This window comes from Homo sapiens, chromosome 14 (genome assembly GCF_000001405.40).
Source record: "Homo sapiens chromosome 14, GRCh38.p14 Primary Assembly".
In the NCBI taxonomy this organism is placed as follows: Eukaryota; Metazoa; Chordata; class Mammalia; order Primates; family Hominidae; genus Homo; species Homo sapiens.
Genome location: NC_000014.9, coordinates 80,963,223 through 80,985,911, shown reverse-complemented (window position 1 = coordinate 80,985,911; position 22,689 = coordinate 80,963,223). Strand labels below are relative to the sequence as shown.

Sequence of the window (22,689 nt, the reverse complement as noted above, 5' to 3'; positions counted from 1 at the left end):
ACAAAATGAGGGATGTCAAAGTGCTATACACTTAATGAAAATGTGAGTCAGCAAAGATCTTCCCACTGACCAAAGTTTGCATACCCCTTGTATATATTCTATTTTGTTGTTGTTGTTGTTATAGAGGCATATTTATTGACATGCAAAGATGTTTACAATACACAACTGGGGGGAAGCAAGTTCCATACATATTTACAGTATGATCTTGTCTTAGTTTCTTAACTGTCAGAAAACCTCAAAGCATATTACCCCATATTTTCACACATAGAAACTTCCGTTTCAGCTCAGACTAGGGATTACAATTCCCACCATGAGTCTTAGAGAATTCAGCCATAACCTAAACGTCCTGGGCATGCTTTCTGGTCCATACCAACGACTAAGAATCACTGTCTTGTAGATTGGCACAGCAGCCTCTTGTAGCTTTGCTGTTTTGTATTGTTGAAGCTGCAATTCTGGATCTAAATTTCTCCGATTACATTTATTCTGTCGTGTTAGCCGGTACAAATGCAGAAATGCCCAGGCTTGCCTACTAGTAAAAGATAAAGCCCTTTGGCCTTTCATAGGACACATAGGAGAATAAATCACAAATGATAAAAAAAATTAAGGCATGATTTTGCAAGGAGGAAAAAAGCAATTACCTTTTTCTTTTTGGTTTGTTTTTTGAGACGGAGTCTCGCTCTGTCGCCCAGGCTGGAGTGCAGTGGCGCGATCTCCGCCCACTGCAAGCTCCGCCTCCCGGGTTCACGCCATTCTCCTGCCTCAGCCTCCTGAGTAGCTGGGACTACAGGCGCCCGCCACCACACCCGGCTAATTTTTTGTATTTTTAGTAGAGACGGGGTTTCACCATGTTAGCCAGGATGGTCTCGATCTCCTGACCTCGTGATCCACCCGCCTCGGCTTCCCAAAGTGCTAGGATTACAGGCTTGAGCCACCGCGCCCGGCCAAAAGCAATTACCTTTTTAATTCAGGATATAAAACAATGTACAGGATGATTTCAGCTCTTTGGGGAAGATAAAGTACAAATGGGTAGAAAAAGATGCAAAGGACATCTAACAAGTTCCCCTTGCTGATGACTCCAAATCTCCATCTTACTCACTGAACAAAGTTTGGGGCACCTACTATTTTTCTGACACTGCCAGATAAAATCCATCTACTCATCTCAGACTTTTCAGCTGACCTCCAGCCAGATGCAGTCAAATGTCTGATGGACACATGCATGTGGAGGAAGTTAAGAATTGTAACCTGGCATGCAAAATTAAACATTAAAACCAGTCTCTGAGCTTTGAAGGCCGTCGCCTCAAAATGTCCTTCAGGGGAACTGTAAAGGAGTATGGTGAGATGGGTTCTGGTGTCAGATAAAACAGCTATGCCACCTGCCTGCTGTGGGAATCTAGGAAAAAGTACTTACCCTCTCTAATTCTCATTGGAGGGTACCCAGACTAATGAGTTCTAATAAAAACACGAGTACCTAGTTTACAGGATCACTGTGAGTACAGGAAAAAAATAAACTTGCAAAATATGGTGCCAACTTAGTGTCTGACATAGAATAGGCACTCACAAAATGTTTCCACCTTCTCTTTTGTGAGATGACTTTGACATAAATGAAACAGCCTGACAATTTAAGAGTTATAAATGTAGAAGCAAAATTAAAATTGAACAAATAATGCATTTGTCTGAAATTCTGGATCTTTCTGTGTTGTGGAATGAGTATCTGATACGGCTGGAATAGGAGAAAAAGAGTAGTTTCTCTTACATTAAACAGCCTATAGCAACCCCTGCCTCCTTTATGTAGAGAGTGCACATTTGGTCATGGGTATACACGTGCACACTCACACACACACACACTCACTCTCTCTCTAGGTACTGTTAGTTATCTTTGTGTGTGTGTATGCCTTACTTCTATAACTAGATTTCAAATTCAAGGATGTTTTCTTTTTTGCCATTTTAAGCCACAGATGGATCTAAGGAGATACTAATGAACAAGTTAGCTCACTTACAACGAACTCGTTCGCTTTCTTAAATAAAATGTAAAAAATATGCCAATCTAAACAAGAAAAAAATCAACAAACATTTTCAGCCAGTGATATGATATTCATCTGATACCCCCAAAATAGTTTAGCTCAAACCTAGAGCTTGTCACAGGTAACTATGTGTTAAAGATGCAATGTATAACTTGTACACCATAATAACCAAATATGATACAAGGCTCTTTGGGAATGTACAGCCTGCTAGAGTTTGGAGATGGTTCAAAGTGTTCTATCTCTGGCTCATTTTACATTGCTTCAATAATCCCTTTAACTTCCCTGAGAATGCCCATGAGTGTATTATAACTCAAGTGATCAACAACTACAATTGAGCCCTTTCTGATATGCTCCTTTATGTTAATAAATATGGCCACACCACTAACAAGACTGGCTTTTGCCTCTTTATGGTTAAAGATGAGTTTTGATGCTGCCAGTGCCTTCATATTGATCATGTCTCTGGCTGCAGTTGGATTTTCAGATATATTTAAAATTACTTTCAAAACAAGATGTCTGGTTTTGTACTTTCTCAAGGATGGCAAATGAAAAAGCTCTGAAAAGTCACCGGCAACAATGTAGTGATGGACAAAATCAGTAGTCAGTTGCCCTAGTATCTTTGATCCAGATTGCTGTCCAGGTGAGTTCAAAGGAAATGACATGGTGTCTTTACACATATGCTTAACATGTAATTCAATTTTGCATTGTCTTTCATCCCCAGAAGGAGGATTCAGAGTAATTACTCATAAGAAAATTAGTAATTTTCTCATTTCTGGGGAAGGAAAACTGAGCAAGCTTTCAATAAGCATCATTATACCATTTCATTAATAAACTCTTGGGCAAATGGGTGAACGTTATGGATACCCATTGCAATCTGTGCTCTTTTATGAACAAGAGGATCAGTAGTTGACTTAAGTAAGTTAACAAGTTGTTCAAATTCCTCAGAGTCCACATAGCATTCCATTTTGCAAGAGTAAGCAAATGGCTTAATCCCATTTACCTCCCTAATCCTGATTTGGTGTCTAATCTCATCTATGGTCTGGATGCAAGGGTCGGAACCAAAAGGACACTCAGGGATGGGCTGTGAGCATGAGTTAGTGTTCCTACAAGGGCAGGCTGTTGCCACAGGCAAAGAATAGGCATTTTCTTCAGCTGAGGCCAAAACAATATATGAAGGAGGGCTTGCCTTAGATGCCTGGGATCTAATCCGAATACTGCTGGAGTTACAGCAGGGGCTTTGGGCCAGATAGTTACCTCAGACCAGTCCTTGGGCCTATTTTTTTTTTCCATTAATTTCATCCACAGGCTGAGATCTAACTATCCTACTCACAGATTGAGGATTAGGGTCAAAACTAGCATCATCTCCTTCCCAAAACCAGTTCCCAATGACATTCTCTTCCTCCTCTTCCTCAGCCCCAGACCTAGGTTTGCAACTGGCCCCAGTCACAGGCTCCAACTCCTCAGCACAGACCTGGGCACCAATTTCAGGTTTATCATTCTTAGCACCGGAATGATTACCAGCCTCTTCTCCATTTCAGAACCAGGAATTGATAGTGGCCTCTTCCTCAGCCCAGACCCAGGCATCAATACCAGCCCCATTTTTACATGTGGAGCTGGTGGACTCATTCCCAGCCTCGGGACTGAAATCTCCAGTGGCTTTGCCCAGAGCCTTAGGCTCTGACAGGGGCTCCTTCCTTCATCTCAGCACCGACCTTGTTCTTAGACACTGCCTTCATCTCTGCCACTGCATCTGTCAGAGACCCTGGCTTGTCTTTTGCTTTGGCCCAGGTATTGGCTACAGGCCTAACCACACCCGTAGCCTCCCTCTCTTCTCCAGCTTTAGCTTGTATAGCAGACTCTTTTCCGCTTTGGCCTGGCCTCTTGTCTTATTCTTAGTCCCAGTCATGGTTGAAGCCCAGTTACTTGGCCCTGTCCATCTTGTCCTTGGTTCTCAAGGTGTCCTAGGCTGATGTCTTAATACTCTTTCACTGTGTCAGGGAAAAACTTGGTAGCGAGAGTTAGAGTCAACTTTCAGTTCAGCAGTCACTATGTTCTCTTGCCAAACATGCAGCCTCTGTCAACGATACAGAGGGCAGAGGCACGCTTGGGCTAGGGAAGAATGATTGTTCCCTAGTGCAGACCTGCTGAAGCTGATGGTCGTCCGACAATCCAAAGCCACCACAGCTACCAGCGGTGATGGACCTTGGATCCAAATGAATAGTTTTTGTTCTCTTTCTTAGTTAACTCCCTAGTGAACAGCTACCTACAGATCTCTACAGGAACCTAGAAAGGAACAGACCTCATCACCACCTATGTCAGCCTGCTCACATAGCAAGGGTCCTCAGAAGATGCTATCCTTCCCACAAAAGAAGAGTCCTCTAGCTAGAGAAGAGTCACAGCCTCCACACGCCCAGGGCCCAGGTCATCAGCCTCCCATCCTCTCCTCTGTTGTCCTCTGGCTGCTCCTCACTTGGATTCCCACTGCTTTCCCCATGATCTGAATGGCAAAGAGTCGTCCTGCTCCTGACGCCACTGCATCAAACTCAATATTCTATTTTTAAAAAAACCTTCTTGAGAATCTGGAACCATGCCCTTGCCCATAAACTTGTGTGTTTTGGTTGGCATTTAAACTACTGGATGGCTGAGACACCTCCCAAGCTGAGATAGTATCATAAAATATATCCCTGAGCAGTGAAATCCCTGATGTTGCTGTTGGAAACAATTGTGGAACTCCCCTTGAGCCATTTTCTCAATGATAAATGAGTTTATAATCCTAAATTATAAAATAAAAAGGTAACAATTCACCATGAAAGAGCCATTAAGATCTCACAGTTTTCAAACTGACACCCCCAAGAATTACAGAGAATAGAATGATTTCAAAGTGATTATAAAATAAGTTTTTTTAAAAACTAATTCAGGACATAAAAGACATGATCAAAACCACAAAAATGAACAGATATATGAAACAGAACAGACAACCGAAATATAACAGAAATGGATTAGACAGAAGAGTAGTTAGCTGAAGAATAGTGGCCTGGAAATATATGTAAAGCTAAGAAACCAGATAAAATGTAGCACAGAGAGATATCATATTAGAAAACACAAAAGAGAAGTTAAAAGGCAAGAATGAAAGATGGATGATCCAACTTACATCTAATAGGACTCACATGAGAAAAGAATAGAGAAAATGAGGACAGACAATATTAAAGAGATAATGGCTAAGAACTTCTCATTCAAAATAGAACAATGAATTCAAAGCAGGGTAAATAAAAATTCATCAATATCTACACATATTACAGGAAAACTGTTAAACATTAAAGACAAAGAGATCTTAAAAGCAAATAAAAGTCAAAGATGAAAACATCAAGAGAAGGATAACTGAGCTGGTGGCAGATTTCTTAACAGCAAGAGAGGGTACAATAACAGTAAAATTCTATCTTAATCCCTGCGTGGGGAGAGAAGGAAAAAGTGGATAGTGGCAGAGCTTTAGTTGTTGCTGTAACATTTTATTTATTTAAAAAATAAAAGAGAAACCTAAGTTAAAGCCAATTGTTAACTTCTGGTTAATTTTGATGGTAGCACATAGTTATCTGTGTTGCTATTTTTGTGCTTTCATATGCATTAAAGATGGAAAAGGGTTAATTATAGAAAAAAAAGAGTGGAAATAAAGAATGTTCCCACAAAAATGAATAGCTTGTGCAAGCAATAAGAGCAGCAGAGTGAATGACACATTCTAGGATGTAAAAATAGTTCGAAGTGGCTGAAATAAAATTCTAGAATATAAAAATAGTTCAAAGTGGCTGAAATAATAGAAGTGACTAAAGTGGAGGGAAACTAGTAAAAGATCTGCCTGCAAAGAGAAGCAAGCAGGGCCAGATCACGGGGACTTCATAAACCATGTGAAGAGTCTGAAATTTTCTGAAGAGCAATGGAAGCCAATAGCGTATTTTACTCAAGAGACCGAGACCCCATCCGCAGTACAGGCTGATCACCCTCACTGCTGTGTTTAGCAAGAACAAAAGAAACTCCATTTCCATTCAGGTGGAAAAAAATGTTAGTGGTGAGAACTCAGATGAAAACAAATGAAATGGAGACAGATTCAAGATATATTTAGACTAGTAATAATTAATAATGGATTTGATATTAGGGATGAGTGAGAAGAAAGTATCAAGAATAATCCTATGTGTCTGTTTTTCTTTGTCTTTAAATACTGATTTTATGTTTTTAGTTTTCTCTTATTTTTAATTAGCACATATTTTTGGAATACGGTATGCTGTTTTGATACATGTATACATTGTATAATGATCAAATCAGAGTAATTTGCAAATCCATCACCTCAAACATTTATCATTTCTTTGTGGTGAGAACATTCAACATCATCTCTTCTAGCTATTTGGAAATAAACAATACATTATTGTTAACATAGTCACCCTACTGTGCAATAGAACATCAGAATTTATTCCTCCTACCTAACTGTAACTTTATACCTGTTGACCAACCTCTCCTCATTTCTTCCTCCCCCTACCCTCTGCACAGCCTTTGGTAACCACTATCCTACTCTCTGCTTCTATGAGATCAATGTCATTAGACTCCACATATGCATGATGTTAGACTCCACATATGCATGATGCTTCTACGAGATCAATGTTGTTAGACTCCACATATGCATGAGATCATGCACCACTTGTCTTTCTGTGTCTGGCCAATTTCACTTAACATGATATCCTCCAGGTTCATCCATGTTGTTGCAGATGACTATGCTGTTTTGAGCATCCGGGTAACCGATGGATCCATTCACTGAGATGGGTATACAGATAGTTTTGGCCAAGAAGATAATAATGTCACCTTTGGAAATGTTAAATATAAGGACACTGTATGATATTTTAGTGAGCAATTGGATGAAATAAGTTTAGTGCTCAGAAAAGAGACCTGGCTTACAGATCTGAAATTCAAATTCATTAGAATCTCATTAGATGTATGAATGGGAGTAGGCGAGGCTGGAGAAGTGTGGCATGAGATAAGAACCTCAAAACCATCCAGCATCATTTAAATGATAGGTAGAGGAAGAAAGAGAAGCTGGTACAGAAAGGCAGATGTGCAAACAGAGAAGATGAAAGAGAAAATGGGTATGGCAGCCACAGAGATGCACCACTCAGATCTCCCTCCAGGAAACAGCTTTCTGTGTAACTGTCAGGAGGCAGTTAGCTGCCAGCCTCCATCTGCAGCACCTGCAGGAACTGTCACAGTGTTTTAACCAAGGCTCTACTCTTCCCGGGAAGCCCACAGCCCAGGGCTGAGCATGGCAGTGGTGCTAGAGCCTGGCTTCTATGCCTAATGTGGGTCCCTCTAACAGGCAGTCTTTGCTCTAGAGCTCCCCATTGGTTTGGCCAAGATTTTGTCAGCTCTGTAGCACAGTCTGGGGCTCTCCCCCTTTATCTTTCACAGATGTTATCTTTCAATGAACCACTTGCACTCCTAACGCTGTCTCAGCATCTGCTTCCCAGAATAACTGAACTGATACAGTTGGTACTGGAATTGGTCTGAGAAAGCAGGAGGTAAAATGAGGTTTTGGGAGCAGATCACTTCCTGCAAGCTGGTGATGAGGATCCCATTCTGGGTGGCACAGGGGGCACAGATAGTCTCTGGCACAGGGTGGCAGCCCAATTACTAAAAACTTTAATCAATGATGGCTTGGAAGAAAGTTCCGTGAGAGAACTTTCCTGGCCTGTGCAATGTTCATGCTTTAGAAAAGTGCACATGCATGTGTGTGTGTGTGTGTGTGTGTGTGTGTGTGTGTGTTGGAGGGATGTTGTTGAGGAGGAGGCAAGGAAGATGAAGGAAAGCAATGAATACAAGGATGAAGGAATTAGCTGGATTTTTGTTAAGTTTGAAGCTACTACAGCCAGCTAATGCTGAGATAAAGTTGACAGCAACTGACAAGCAATTGAACACTGTATGAGAAGGCCTATATCTGGTGCAAGGGGATATTAGAAAGAGCTGAAGACTAAACTCAGAACTTACAGTTAAGAGTTATACTTTTGTTTATATCTAAGAAAATGGACAAATAAGCTGTGATTTATTCATTGAATTGAATACTGTAGAAAGATTGCTTCGCCCATGTATCAGTTAACATGTAAGTCTGGCAACTTGGAATAGGGCCTGAGCAGGACTTTGCAGCACCAGGCTGTGGTACAAGCAGCCCTGCCTCTTGGGCCATATGATCTCATAGACTCTATTGTGTTGGAAGAGTGAAAAGTGAAAAAAGAGGTAGTTTGGTGTGGAGTTTGTGGCAAGCCTTCATAGAAGAATCAAAATACAGTACTCTGGATTTCTAGAGTGAGTCCACACCATCTGCAGTGCAGAAAAACATCTCTTGGGGTGCTACTGAGCCCTGTTTGAGACTGAATATTTGACCATGGAAGCCAGTAACTATGCATTCTAAACTGCCCCTTGTGAGCTGAGCTCTGTAGAATACATTAAGTCAGAATGTCAGGCAGACTCAGCAGCAATTTGTCTAGTGGAAAGTGGTATACCAGGGATCAAACCTGAGCAGTACAACAGGGATCACATGGCCACTTTATGACACATTGAGCCATTTCTTCCTGGAAGGACCTGTGAATTATTGTCATGGTAGTAAACATTTATTCTAGATAACTGTTTGCCTTTCTTACCTACAAAGTCCCAGGCAGCACTACTAGCTGGAGGATTTGAAAGTGATCCACAGACATAGAATTCCATATAACACAGCATCCGACCATGAGAGACACACTTCACAGAGGAGGAGACGAATGAGCCTGTGACCATGGGATCCTCTGGTTTTATCACATATCACATAATCCAGAGAAGGTAGCTCTATAGAGCAATGCAAGAGCCTACCAAAGGCACAACCGGAATGCCAATTTGTAGGCAATTGCCTACATCATGGCATCTGCCATGGTGGGGTATCATCATGCAGGCTAGACACTGCATCACAAACCTCTATATGGATGTTATCCCAATTAGGAAGAATATATTGGTCTGGGAACCATTGGGCAGAAGCAGGAGAGAGTCCACTTATCACATTCAATGATTCGCTGAAAGAGTCTGTGTTTCCTCTTCCTATAATACTAGGCTCTGTGGAGAACTCAGGCTATGACTGCCACTTGGGCATTCAGGACTTCTTGTATACAGAGACCAGCAGGCTGAAGAAGTCAATATCTTGTTAGGAGTAACTGACCCTGATCAGGAGGAAGAAGCAGGGCTGCTGTTACACAATGAGGACAGGGAGAAATATATTTGGAACTCAGATGATCCAGTTGGACATACTTGCTCAATTGTGACTATAGACAAACAAGTGCAATAACCCCAGCCTAAGAAAAGTATGGTAACTATGGGTTCAGGCCCTCAAAAATGAAGGCTTTGATCATATCAGCAGATAAGTCATCAAGACCAGCAGAGGTGAAAGCTGAGGGGGAATTTAAAATGAACAGTGGAAGAGAGATGATAAGTACCAATTGTGATCCCAGACAGACCAACCGCTGCAACAGGGGTCAGACTACTCCCTAAGTTACCTCTTTCAAGCTTCTCCTCAGGAAGACAGGCCCACTGGAATCCTGGATAACCTGTTCCCCAAAGGTATGTGGAGAACCAGATCTGTATCTTGCAAGGGGTGGGCTGTGGCTGTTGTGGAAGTGAGGGCTTCGTTTAAGAATGTACTTGCTCACGCCTGTAATCCCAGCACTTTGGGAGGCCGAGGCGGGCGGATCACGAGGTCAGGAGATGGAGACCATCCTGGCTAACACGGTGAAACCCCGTCTCTAGTAAAAATACAAAAAATTAGCCGGGCGTGGTTGCGGGTGCCTGTAGTCCCAGCTACTCGGGAGGCTGAGGCAGGAGAATGGTGTGAACCCGGGAGGCGGAGCTTGCAGTGAGCCAAGATTGTGCCACTGCACTCCAGCCTGGGCAACAGAGTGAGACTCCATCTCAAAAAAAAAAAAAATGCATTTGCTGTTAAGCTGCAAGGAGTGCAGTTGGCACACCTAACCAGCTCAGTATCCTCCCCATTATGCAACAGCAGCCCTGCCTCCTGTGCTGCTCAGAAGACCTGAAGTAAGGCACCAGGCAATCAAGGAGTATGATGTGGAGAAAACCAAGGGAAGCAGTCAGCAGTGACAAAAGCTACTGAGCATTCAACTTAGGAAAGAATCTAAAATGTCCTTTGGATTTTGCAACAAAGGTTGTTAATATGACTTTGGCAAGACCTTTTTCAATTAAGTAATGGGGGCAAAAGCCAGATTGCACCAAGCTAAATGGTGAATGGGGAGTAAAAAAATCAGAAGAGCAACATGAGAAAGCTCCTTATGAACATTTAGCTGTGAAGGGAAGGATAGAGGCAGGGAAGGAGTGGTAGGTGGACGCAAATGTGAGAACGTATTGGAGTGAAATTTTTTTAGAGGAAAGATACTTGAGTGTGTTTAGATAGCTGTGAAAAGCATCTGAGAGAGTAGGAGAGGGAGGAAAAAGTCAAAATAGGGTGAGGAAACCAAAAGAACATGGATGTAGGTGGAGGGACTCATTTTGTATTGCTACAAAAGTGGAGAAGAAAAGGATGGGTGTAGATTCTTTTAAATGAAATACTTCATTTGTGTTGCTTTGTTTTAATAGTCAAGTTCTTTCAGAATCCCTGTATAATACATTTGTGTTCTTCAAAATATGTGACAAACAATAACCTGCCATAGTCTTACTCTGCTGAATGGGGAAGATTGTCCCTGAATAGGAAGAGCTCCATGAACATTTGAACAATGATGTCCTTGGTCTTCCTAACAGTTCTCTGAAATAGGACATGACCATCTTATGGTTTTCCTTTAATAGATACAAAAGGTAAGACACAGAATGATTATGTGCCTTGCTAAGATTCTTAGGACTTATGGAAGGTCTCCTGACTTCCACTGTCCATTTCTACTTAGCACTCTTACTGTGTAAGTAGTCCTTTCACATAGTCATGCAATAATTTCCCTGAATTCAGTGGAAAACTGTCCTCTGCTCTTCACCGTGACTTTTAGCTGACATAGCTTTATACCAGATATTTTTCCTCTTTATTTTGCTGCTGTTGATACTGAACATATTGGATACAATACAAAAAGAAAGCACAATCCCTCCAAGCCACCCTATTTTTTTGGTCATGAAATACATACTTTCTATAAAGTGCCAAGTTTCTTACGAGTAAAAGGAATCCTTCACAAGTACATTAGACCTTCTATCATCACACAGAAATGAATCAGACAGAGCCTTAAAAGATTCTTTCATGCTTCATAAAGCACATTTCAGAGCTTCTGGCTTTGTTGTTTTAGATTCCAGGGATTGAGGGTGGTTGTGAAATGGCAATTTGGTTATGCTACATAAGGCCAACCAAGCATTAAATATGGGCATCTGGAGGGTTTGGCAGTACTAACAGGATTTTCAGCCAAACTCTGACACAGAACAGATAAATCATTCTTACAGATTTATGTGCTCTATTGGCACAGAGACCCCCTAGTTAGACTTTCAGTCCCTTTACCCTACTGGGAATGAATATATCTGGAAGAAGATAAGAACTCTTGGAAGTCTTTAAAATGTCCCCTTTGAAAAGTAGACAAGTGTTGCTCTTCCTAATAAAGCTGTGCAACCCTGATGCCAAACAGCTGCTGGATGGTCCCTGCATGGAAGCTTGCCCTCCACAAATTGATATAATGCTCACACCGAGGGTTAAATCAGGCCACATCTGACAGGCTCTCAGACCTACCACCGCATTAGTAATAATAGCTAACCTGTGATCAAGGCGTATTCTGTTACATCATGCTACCAGCATTAGCTCATGAGCTCCGTATAATCACTCATTGTGGGGAGAGCAGATTTTACAGATCTTACTAGTTTGTTCACCCTGTGAATTGAGTAAATAGAATCTCCCACCCAGGGCGATGGTGGGAGATAAGAATTATACCACACCTCTTCTGCCTCCACATCTAAAGCAGGTTGGGGAAAAATAACTGAGAAGTAAGCTCTGGTAAACATAAGGTGAAGAATAATTTATGTCTCTCATTTAAACATTTTCCAATTCACAGCAAATTTTCTTCCTTGGCACATTGGTTAAATTTGTTAATGGAGATTTTAAAAAAAGGCATAGAAGCCAATATTATTATAAGAAACATCGATAGAAATAGGATATTGTTAGAATTGTTCTTCAGCTTCCTTATAACAGAGAAAAGCCCTTTGCATGAATATTGACTCTAAAAGAGTTATGAATAATGGCTTCATGCATTGCTATTAAGTCGCCGCTTTCTAGAAATGTTGCCTAAGATTGCCATGAGATCCAGAAGGGATAAATGCATAGTGTTCCTCTGCCAACTGGCTAGAAACAGCCTCCTTCACAAGATGGGAACTCTTAAAACCTTTCGACACGGGAAAGTATGTTTGGTAGCTCTAAGCCTCTGAGAATAAGTACACAGATTTTTTTTTTTTTTTTTTTTTTTTTTGAGACAGCGTCTCGCTGTCACCCGGGCGTGAGTGCAGTGGCGCGATCTCGGCTCACTGCAGGCTCCGCCCCCCGGGGTTCACGCCATTCTCCTGCCTCAGCCTCCCGAGTAGCTGGGACTATAGGCACCCGCCACCTAGCCCGGCTAATTTTTTGTATTTTTAGTAGAGACGGGGTTTCACTGTGTTAGCCAGGATGGTCTCGATCTCCTGACCTCGTGATCCGCCCTCCTCGGCCTCCCAAAGTGCTGGGATTACAGGCGTGAGCCACCGCGCCCGGCCAAGTACGCAGATTTTTTTGATGTTCAGATTTTTGTATCTAAGGTATAAGGTATTACAGCATGGAATGGGGCTGCTATCTACATTGATGTGTTAGAAATGAACCTGTCCAAAAATTGCTGCAAGCTTTAGCCAGGCCTGTTTACATCTGTTTTCCCTTTGGGTCACTTGTCTGATTGCCCATACTCTTTGTCACCCTACAATTTAGATGAAACTTGAAAGCATTATGCTAAGTGAAAGCAGTCAGATACAAAGGTCACATAAGGTAGCATTCCATTTACACAAAATATCCAGAATAGGTAGACCCATGTGGACGGAGAGCAGATTCCTGGTTTCCAGGGGCTGGGAGGAGTGGGGAATGGGGAATGACTGCTTAATCGGCACGAGCTCCCCTTTGAGATGATGAAAATATTTTGGAACTAGATACAGGTGCTGGCTGTACACTATTGTGAATGTACTAAATGCCACTGAATGGTAGTTATACTTGAAAATGGTTAATTTTATATTGTGTGAATTTCACATCAACTGAGAGAGGAGGAGGGGAGGGAGAGGGAGAGAAAATAGACCAGATTTAGGAAGATAGCTATGGAATAGTAGAAGGAGCTTTGGGTTTAGAGTTGGGAGACATGAATTTGAATTCTGACTCTTTCACTTACCAGCTGTGACATAAAAGTCAAAAAAGATGACATTTCTGGGTCTCAGTTTTGCATCTAAATGAGAGTCAAACACCTCCCAAGGAAGACCACTGTGAACACTGAGATATTATATGTGAAGACATATAGTATGGGTCTGGGCATAAAGCTGATACAAACACATAACTGAGCAAAAAAAACCCCACAGAACAATGATAGGTTTTTTTAAGGTAGTACAAAAAACAAAAACGAAAACCCATGGAATTTATGTTATAGCTAAAACTGTTAAAATGTAATAAAAGTAACTTGGATTAATAACTCACAATAGATAACAATCATGGCAATTTTCATAAATCCAAACACTGAAGAACTAGGTGTTTTGTAATTATAGCTTATACTTCATTTATCTGGCTTCAAGGCATGAATTTAAATCTAAACATTTGTGTTATGGAAAATTCTTCCCTCTAGTACTGTGTATAGTAACCACATCAAGTTACTATATTTCATCATCTTAAGAGGCACATATTTTAAAACTTTAATGTCTCAGGAACCAGGAATTCATTGATTAAAAGTGTTGCTGGATCCCCCTAGGGAAGTGTAGGGAAAGTGTATACCACTACAAGTATTATTGGTGACTGTCCCCCAATCATTCCTAAAAGGGACCTGTGGCCAGTTGCCAAAGTAACTGTCAACTGGTAAACAGAAATCCAAGGCTTCTTGAAGATCATTGGATACAAGGTTTGAGCTTATACTGACAGGAGTATGTCCAAGGATAAATTGCAGATATTAGTGTCAACTTGAAAGACTTAAAGGATGCAGAATGGTGGTGCTTCATATCCTTTCAATTCACCTATCTGCCCCCTGTAAGAAACAAAACCAACAAAAACCCCAAACAAATAGATTAAGGTGAATGACAATGCACTTTAACAAACTTAACCAATAGGTAGGTTCTATCATAGCTGCTGTGCCAGATATGTCTTCACTGGAACACATCAGCACAGCCTGTAGCACTTTATATGTGATTATCAATCTGGTGAATGTGTTCTCTTCTTGATTCCTATCAATAGAGAGAATCAAAAGTAGTAAACCTTTATCTAGGAACAATAGCAATACCAATTCACTGCTTTGCCCAAGGGGTTCCATTTCATAAGAGTTTGTGGGGACGGATAATCTGGACATCACGCACATCATCATACTGGTCTGCTACCTGATGATATGCTAATTAGAGTTGGTGGGCAAAAAGTAGAAAGAAGCCTAGCTAGTCTAGTAAGAAATCTGAAGGTTGGGGGCAGCAGATAAATCCCACAAAGATTCAGGGACCTCTTCCATTAGCAACATGCTTAGTCTGCGGCATTCTAAAAAATCCCTTCTGGCCAGGTATGGTGGCTCACGCTTGTAATCCCAGCACTTTGGGAGGCCGAGGTGGGTGGGTCATTTGAGGTCAGGAGTTCAAGACCAACCTGGCCACCCGTCTCTACTAAAAATACAAAAATTAGCCGGGCAGTAGTGGCATGTGCCTGTAATCCCAGCTACTTGGGAGGCTGAGGCAGGGTAATTGCTTGGGCCTTGGAGGCAGAGGTTGCCACAAGCCAAGCTAATGCCAGCCAAAAAATGAACTACTGCTGCACTGCAGTCTGGGTGACAGAGTGAGACCCTGTCTCACAAAAAAATCCCTTCTAAGGTATAGGACATACAGTTGTATCTTGCCCTTTCTACCTTTTACAAAGAAGTACAGCACTTGCTGGGCGTCTTGGCTTTTGGCAGCAGTGTAACCCATTTTCCCATTTATCAGATAACTCAGAAGGCTGCCAGTTTCAGGTAGGACCTACAAGAGTCTATAACAGATTCAGGCTGAAATGCCAGCTTCCCTGCCATGTGGGCCATACAGCCCAGCCCAGCAGGTCTTACAACACTACAGATATCCATCCTGGACAAGGATATTCTGTGGACTCGCCAGCAGGTCCCAAGAAGAGAATGAAAGCTCAGGCTCTTAAAGTTTTGGAGCAAGGATCTGCCTTCTGAAGGACAGAAATACCCTTTATGAGGAAAATAATTCCTGACATGCTATTCTGCCCTAGTAGAGACTGAGATCTCTTCAATGGGACACTAAGTGACTCTGTGACTACAGCTGCCCATTGTGAATTGGGTATTGCCAGTTCTACTACATAAAATAAGGTGAGCACAGCAGCAATTGATTTTATGATAGAAATTTTACATTCTGGATCAAGAAAGTCTAGAAAGGGAAGGTAAATTCATGAATAGGTGGCCTAGACTCCCACTTCACTTATTTCTGCTGCACTCTCACTGAAATTGGCTTCATGGAGAGCTCCATATGACCACTTGATGGAGTTCATAGGTTGGTGTCTGCTTTACAGATTGGCACAAGCTAATGCCAGCCAAAAAAAATGAACTACTGCTGCATTACAGCCCCACTCAAGGGTGGCCCTAAAGGATAGTGGTGAAGGGAAATCTTCACAGTCAGTTCATCTGTGAGCATTATAGCAATCATTCTTTTTGTATGAAGGGAGAAAGAACCGTGGCAAGGGTATACATGGAATACCAAGAAGTAGCAAGTAATTTACCTGGTTGACCACTGGCCTAGAAAGAATACTATTGGAAAACAGAGAACAAGAAAGTCTAGGAAACAAATATGGCTATATCTATGGGGGTGGGAACAAATTCTGTGGACCTTTGTGTCTCACGTTAATGCTCATCAGAGAGTATCCACTGATTACTCTGGTTTGCGGTGAATCTCAACACCCAGGTAGACTAGATGACTCATTTTATAAATGCCATCCAGTTTTGGAGAAATGAACATGAATGAAGTGGTCATGGTGACAGGAATGGAAGCCAAGCATGGACCCAATGGCTTGGGCTCCTTTTCATCAAGTCTAATCAAGATACTTCTCCTGTAAATGACCAACCTTTCAGCAGTATAGCCCATTGCTGCACCCTTGGTAAGGCACATTTCTTTAAAGAGAACAGCCAGTCATTTGGTGGCAGTTTGATTATACTGGACCATTTCCACCCTGTAAGAAATAGTAATTCATTTAAAACCTCATGATTACTTTGGATTTGGCCTTCTCTGACTTCAATGCCTCCACCGGCACCACCATTTAAGGGTTTATAAAATACCTGATCTACCAGTATGAAAACGTGTACAGCATTGCCTCAACCAAGGGATGCATTTCATGGCAGAGAAGGTGCAACAAAGGGCATATGAACACTATATCCACTAGTCTCACTATGTGCCCTGTCATGAAGAACCAGACTGCCTACGAGAATGGTGGAATGAATTAAAGACTCAGCTAAGGTGCCATCTTGGGGACAAAGCCCTGCAGGATTGGGGATCTGATCTAAGAAAGGATATGAGCTGAATCAATAGCCAACATATGCTATTGTGTTCTATGTAGCTAGGATACACATGTCTGAAAACCCGGGGGCAATGATAGAATTGGCTCATCTCACCATCACCCTAGTAACCTAACATTCAAATTTTGAGCTTCCTGTCTGTATTCCTGCCCAATTAATGGTACTAGTTCCTGAGGAGAAAGATTACTTCTTCCTCCTCCAATACAGGGAGGTTGATACTATAATGACCACCTGGTCATTTGAGCTTCTCATGCTAGAGGACAAATAGGTAAATAAAGGAGTTTCTCTATTGAGAAATATTAGGCCCTCTTTACCATGAGAAGCTAGGGCAGCTGCTACACATTAGGAAGAGTAAGGAGTGTGTCTAGAATGCAGGGAATTCACTGGGGCATCTCTTGGTTCTTTTGAGCCCACAGATAATGGTGAAGGAGAAAATACAGCAGCTATATATGACAAGAACAAGGCAACTAAGCTTTCAGAACCCTTGGAGCTGAAGTCTGGGTCTTTCCATCAGGCAATCAACTCAACCAGTCAGAGTGCTGGGCAAGGGTGAGACAAATCTAGGATTGGAGTCAAAGAGAGATAAGGACTATCAATGGCATCCTTAAGATCAGCTGCAGCAGGGCAGACTAGTTTATTTCCCAAACCCTCTTGCATTATGTCTTTGCAAGGACTGCATCTTGAAGGAATCTGTGGAAGATGGGGCTTGTATTCCCCTTTCTTGTAAGAATAAAAAAAAAAAAAGTAAGGACATCTCATTCTTACAAAATCGGAGGCCCTATATTTTATTATGGGAGCTAGACATAATGAAAAGCTTGGGCAGGTCTGAGTTGTGCAAAGGCTAACCAACCCTGGGTACCTGTTTTACATCATTTTAGATTCTCTCAGCTTGCCTCTTATGCTAGCCCTGCTGCAGCTACCAGTTCTGTATGAGCTCTGACTAGCTTCAGGCAGGTACAACTCGACAGTACTGCATCTCAGCCCTGTACCACACACCTCTCATCTCCCACCTGGGGACTTTTTTGTTAATATCAGGAAATTCTTTCATCACCCAGGCACAGGAAACCTGGAAGGTCAGTAGAATTAAATCCCTGACTCATGGGAGCCAAGAACTGATGGATAGATGTTTTACCTTTCCTCCTTCCTAAAGCAAGGGTCCTGAGATGCAAGTCATCTGAATTCTCAGGTGGTCTCAGGGGTTTCAGCAACCATTTGTTTCTAGCAGCAGCAAACTCTCCCTCTCTCCCTGCTTCACTTCCCCATCCTACCTTCTGCTCCTGGGATCATACTCCCCAACAAGAATTCTCACATGGGCTCTGCTTTCTGGAGAATTCAGACTAAGATATCACTGACTCCTCTCTTTTACTCAAAGTCCACATAGTCCGCTAGAAAATCCTGTTGGATTCACCTCCAAAATAAGCCCAGGAAATTTCTTACCACATTCCCTGCAATTAAGCTGGTTCAAGCCAGTATCATCTCTCACCCGATTAAGAAACATAGTAGCTAGGGTGATCCTACTAAAATGTAAGTCAGGTCAGGGCCGGGCGGGGTGGCTTACACTTGTAATCCCAGCATTTTGGGAGGCCGAGGCGGCCAGATCCCCTGAGGTCAGGAGTTCGAGATCAGCCTGACCAACATGGTGAAAACCCATCTATACTAAAAATACAAAAATAATCCAGGTATGGTGGCACATGCTTGTAATCCCAGCTTCTAGGGAGGCTGAGGCAGGAGAACTGCTTGAATCCGGAGGTGCAGGTTGCAGAGAGTCGAGATCACACCACTGCACTGTAGCCTGGGCAACAGAGTGAGACTCTGTCTCAAAAAAAAAAAAAAAAAAAATGTAAGTCAGGTCTTGCTTGTGTGTGTGTGTGGCTCAAAATCCTTAATAGCTTCTTATCTCATTCCAAAAATAAGCATATATATATATATATATATACACATACATATATATATATAATTTTTTTTTCTCCTCCAGATATTAGCCTGGATTCCTTTTTTAGCTTCTTCAGGTCCTTATTCAAATGTCATTTTCTCAGTGAGGGCTTCTGTTATGGACTGAATGTTTGTGTGTCCCCCAAATTCATATGCTGAAATCCTAATCTCTGATGTGATAGTATTAGAAGATGGGGCTTTTGGGAGGAAATTCGTTTATGAGTGTGGAACCCTTATGACAAAATTAGTGCCCTTATAATAAAAAACACAAGAGAGGTGAGCTTGGCTTTTTGCTATGTGAAGATACAATGAGAAGGTGGTCAAGTGCAAACCAGGAAGCAGCCCTCACAAGACAACAGATCTGCCGGCACCCTCATCTTGGACTTCCAGTCTCCAGAACTGTGAGAAGTAAATGGTTATTGTGTAAGCCACTCAGTCTGTGGTATTCTGTTAGAGGATCCCAAACTAAGACACCTTGCTGACTATTTAAAATGCAACTTCCAGTATTCCTTCTCCCTCTTCCTTCATTTATATTTCTCCATTATACTTTTCACCATCTGACATTCTCTGTTTTACTTTTTTAAATTTTTAAATTTTTATTTTTTTTTTTGCTATTTTCTCCTGTTATGATGTAAAATCAATGAGGTCGTTTATTATATATCAATGCCTAGAATAGTACTAGTGTATGATAGGTGATCAATACATATTTATTTAAAATATAAAAAAGGAAAGAAGGAAGAACATTTTACAATAAAATGCCACCTATCTAGAGGTAGTATTTCTGGTCATCTCAAATCTTTGGATCATGTCCACAAACCCAGAAATAACTGCCAAGGGTGTTGAGATGGAAATACTGCCATCTCAAAGCCCACTAAAGACTTTCTCATGGAAGAGTATCTCATTTATGCCCGTCCTTAGATCCTCTTTATTTTCATGCACAGAGCCCTTTCCTAAAAGTAGCCTTCTAGTTTCTTGGCTTAAAAAAAGATTGAAATAACAAAATATAAAGTGACAGTACCTGGCAATAAGAGGAAACAATTTCAGTCTCCTCGCTGGAGTTGCATAATTATGAGAACACACAGGCATGGGTAAGATTAAGTTAATGCCTACAAAATATAAGCCAAAAGCTTCATGTGTCATATAAATACAGAGATCATGTTTTCTGAAAGAAAAATTTGGACATAAGGAAGCTCTTTCCAGGTGTGCAAGTGATGTGGGAAGTTTAGATTAAAAGGATGATGAAATATTTGAATTTCTGGAACATTCTGATGGCAGTCTTTTCAGTGGGACTGTGCTATAAAAATCCAGAGCACATATACCTGTCACCACATATAAGAGAACAATATTTATAAGATGTCTTAAAAATCACAAGTGCCAACTTTGTAATTAAAAAATTATTTTGAAAATTTCTGGAATACCCTAAATGTTCTTAAAGGTTCATACAGAAATGAAGCCAAGTAAGTAGGGTCTGATATCTAAATGGAACACTTTAAAACTCAATCTATAATTTTGAACAAATGGGACCATTTTGCTCATTCTTAAAATTTTCAAATGCTATTTTTTAATTAATGTAATGAAAGAGAGTAATTAAGTATGTTGACCAGCTTCAGTAAAAATGGAAACAGAGTCAGTATGAAGAATTTACCATCATGTAGGAGGCATTAGAAACTTGAAAAAATCTGTCAACTATTGACTTGAAAAAGTGGCAACATTCAGTGAACTTCTGTGTGAAGAGCCTATCAAGGGACAGGCTAAGTGTGAGCCATGAAGAAAGTAATCACCACAATAACATGTTCAGAAGGAAAACCATGACATTCAAAGGTGTTGCAGGCTGAAAGAGTGAGGGTCGTGATCAACTCACTATACCACTGGAGGCTCTATGAGTAAACAGCAAACTGTTCTCATAAATGCAGAATGTTGGCAAACTGACAAAAGTGCGTCCTCCACCCAGAAGGAATGCTGAGGGCAGTCACACCCCAAGCGCAGTGTTGCTTGTAATTAGGTACATCTGAAGCCTGTTAGTAACAATATGAACCCATGATCAATTAAGCAGCCGACCAATCGTTACCTCCTCCTCCCTGCCCTTGCTACCCAATAAATACAAAGGGCTGTGGAAGCTCAGGGGCTGCCTTTGCTCACTAGAAGCAGGGAGCTCTCTTCTTCTTCCCCTGGACACTTTCTTTAAAACAGTTTCGTCTTACTTTTTCATTTCTACGTTCATTCCTTTGTTCATTCTCACAATGATGGTCTCAAGTAGTAACAGTAGTAACTGTCCTAGTGACGGTCTCAAGTAGTAACAGTAGTAACTGTTGAAATGACAGTCTCAAGTAGTAACTAACTGTGACAGCTTGCCACACAAAGGTCAGGCGATTTTCATTTATTGTTAAAATATGTCTGTTAGGGTTGTTTGTAATATAATAAAAAGATTGAGTCATAGTGAGTACACTTACAAAATGCCAAATTATTCCAAAGCAGAATTTCTTAACTTGTGAGGGGTCAAGGACACCTTTGAAGATCTAAGGAAAGTTATAGAGTCTCAGAAATGCACTGATGGGGACAAATTTTCACACAACCACAGATTCCTAAGAGCACAACCATGAACTCCTGGAGGCCCATGAACTTTTGTCTAATAAACCTTAGTCTGAAGGGTAACAAACACACTTTGTATAACCAGGAAACACTGAAATAATCAAATAGATCAATTCAACTTAATTTCTCAGCTCTGGACAAAAAACTACTACTCTAGTAAATTGACTGATAAATTCAGACAAAACTAATTCATTTAACAATATGTTTTATGTATTACGAATTAGTTTTCTATGCTTACTACTTCATCAGAGGTGATCTAAGAGAATAGACTTAGGCCCCAGGATAGCTAATTTGTTCACACAGATGAAAATAACTGGACATTCTGGATCTATGCCTCTGATATCATGTCTGAATGGTCTTGGCCTCATCAAAACTGATCTGATTGTTGAGGTTGGACTTTTAAACACTGGGTTTCACCGTGTTAGCCAGGATGGTCTCGATCTCCTGACCTCGTGATCCGCCCCCGCTCCGCCTCTCAAAGTGCTGAGATTACAGGCGTGAGCCACCCCACCTGGCTGAGACCAACCTTCTTTTAAGTGATAGACTCCCACCTACGGCAATGAAACACAAGGCTGAGCATGTCCCACGGGCCTCTGGACTTCATGGTCTAATAGGAAGATCTATTAGTATTAGCAATTTATCCCCCAAATTGGGACACCTTTGAGAGTGAAAGGAATGCTATTAACTACACTTGAATGACAGATGTAATGGGGTTCAAGACATTCTATCCCCAAATGTGACACCTTGGCATTTGAGAAAACAACAGAAGCAGAAGGTCTCTCCGACTTTTTCCTGCCCTTCTCCCCTGAGTCAGGTCATCAGACAATTCTCTGGTCTTCCTCTAAAGTAGGTCTTAAGACCCTCATTTCAGAGGGGCTCTCCCTACACCAGGAGAAAAGGAATGAAGACACAAAGACATCAAGATGAATTTGAACAAATAAGACTTGCTAAGATCTGCCCCACAGACCACAGTTTATTACCATTCGATCATATCCTTTTGTCCTCCAATCTGTATGACTGTCCATAAAAAGATACAGTTTTCTCTGTTCCTTTGGGTCTTTATTACTGAAGCCTCCTGTGTCATGTAAAACTTATATTTAATAGTTGTTTAATGTTTTTTTTCTTGTCAATCTGTTTTTTGTTGTTGTTGTAGGGTCTCAGCCATGCACCATGTGATGGGTAAAGAAAAGATATTTTCTGCCTTACAGGTGTAAGAGGAGGGTCCATTTGGATAGGGCAACCCTAACTATATGGAACCTGGAAACCAGTGGATGGTTCCATAAAGAACCTGGAGTTCATTAGGGGATGAAGATCAATTTTTAAAATTAATAAACATTTTTTAGCTTGGGAAAATTTAGAGTTAACAATAGAAATGAGAA

General features: G+C 41.3%; 1 protein-coding gene and 1 pseudogene across 3 annotated transcripts in view, besides 2 other annotated features; both read right to left on the bottom strand.

The window, feature by feature from the left end:
* TSHR (thyroid stimulating hormone receptor) overlaps positions 1-22,689 on the bottom strand; it is a 190,686-nt gene that overhangs the window by 160,395 nt on the left and 7,602 nt on the right. The window lies entirely within an intron of this gene.
* GPRASP3P1 (GPRASP3 pseudogene 1) lies at positions 117-4,319 on the bottom strand (annotated as a pseudogene).
* Positions 12,092-12,591: an enhancer, noted in NCBI's record as "H3K4me1 hESC enhancer chr14:81439665-81440164 (GRCh37/hg19 assembly coordinates)". NCBI's record gives its function as "activates a minimal SCP1, AML or CMV promoter by ChIP-STARR-seq in naive H9 embryonic stem cells {active_cell/tissue: H9 hESC(naive)}" and the evidence as "EXISTENCE:reporter gene assay evidence [ECO:0000049][PMID:30033119]".
* Positions 12,592-13,093: an enhancer, noted in NCBI's record as "H3K4me1 hESC enhancer chr14:81439163-81439664 (GRCh37/hg19 assembly coordinates)". NCBI's record gives its function as "activates a minimal SCP1, AML or CMV promoter by ChIP-STARR-seq in naive H9 embryonic stem cells {active_cell/tissue: H9 hESC(naive)}" and the evidence as "EXISTENCE:reporter gene assay evidence [ECO:0000049][PMID:30033119]".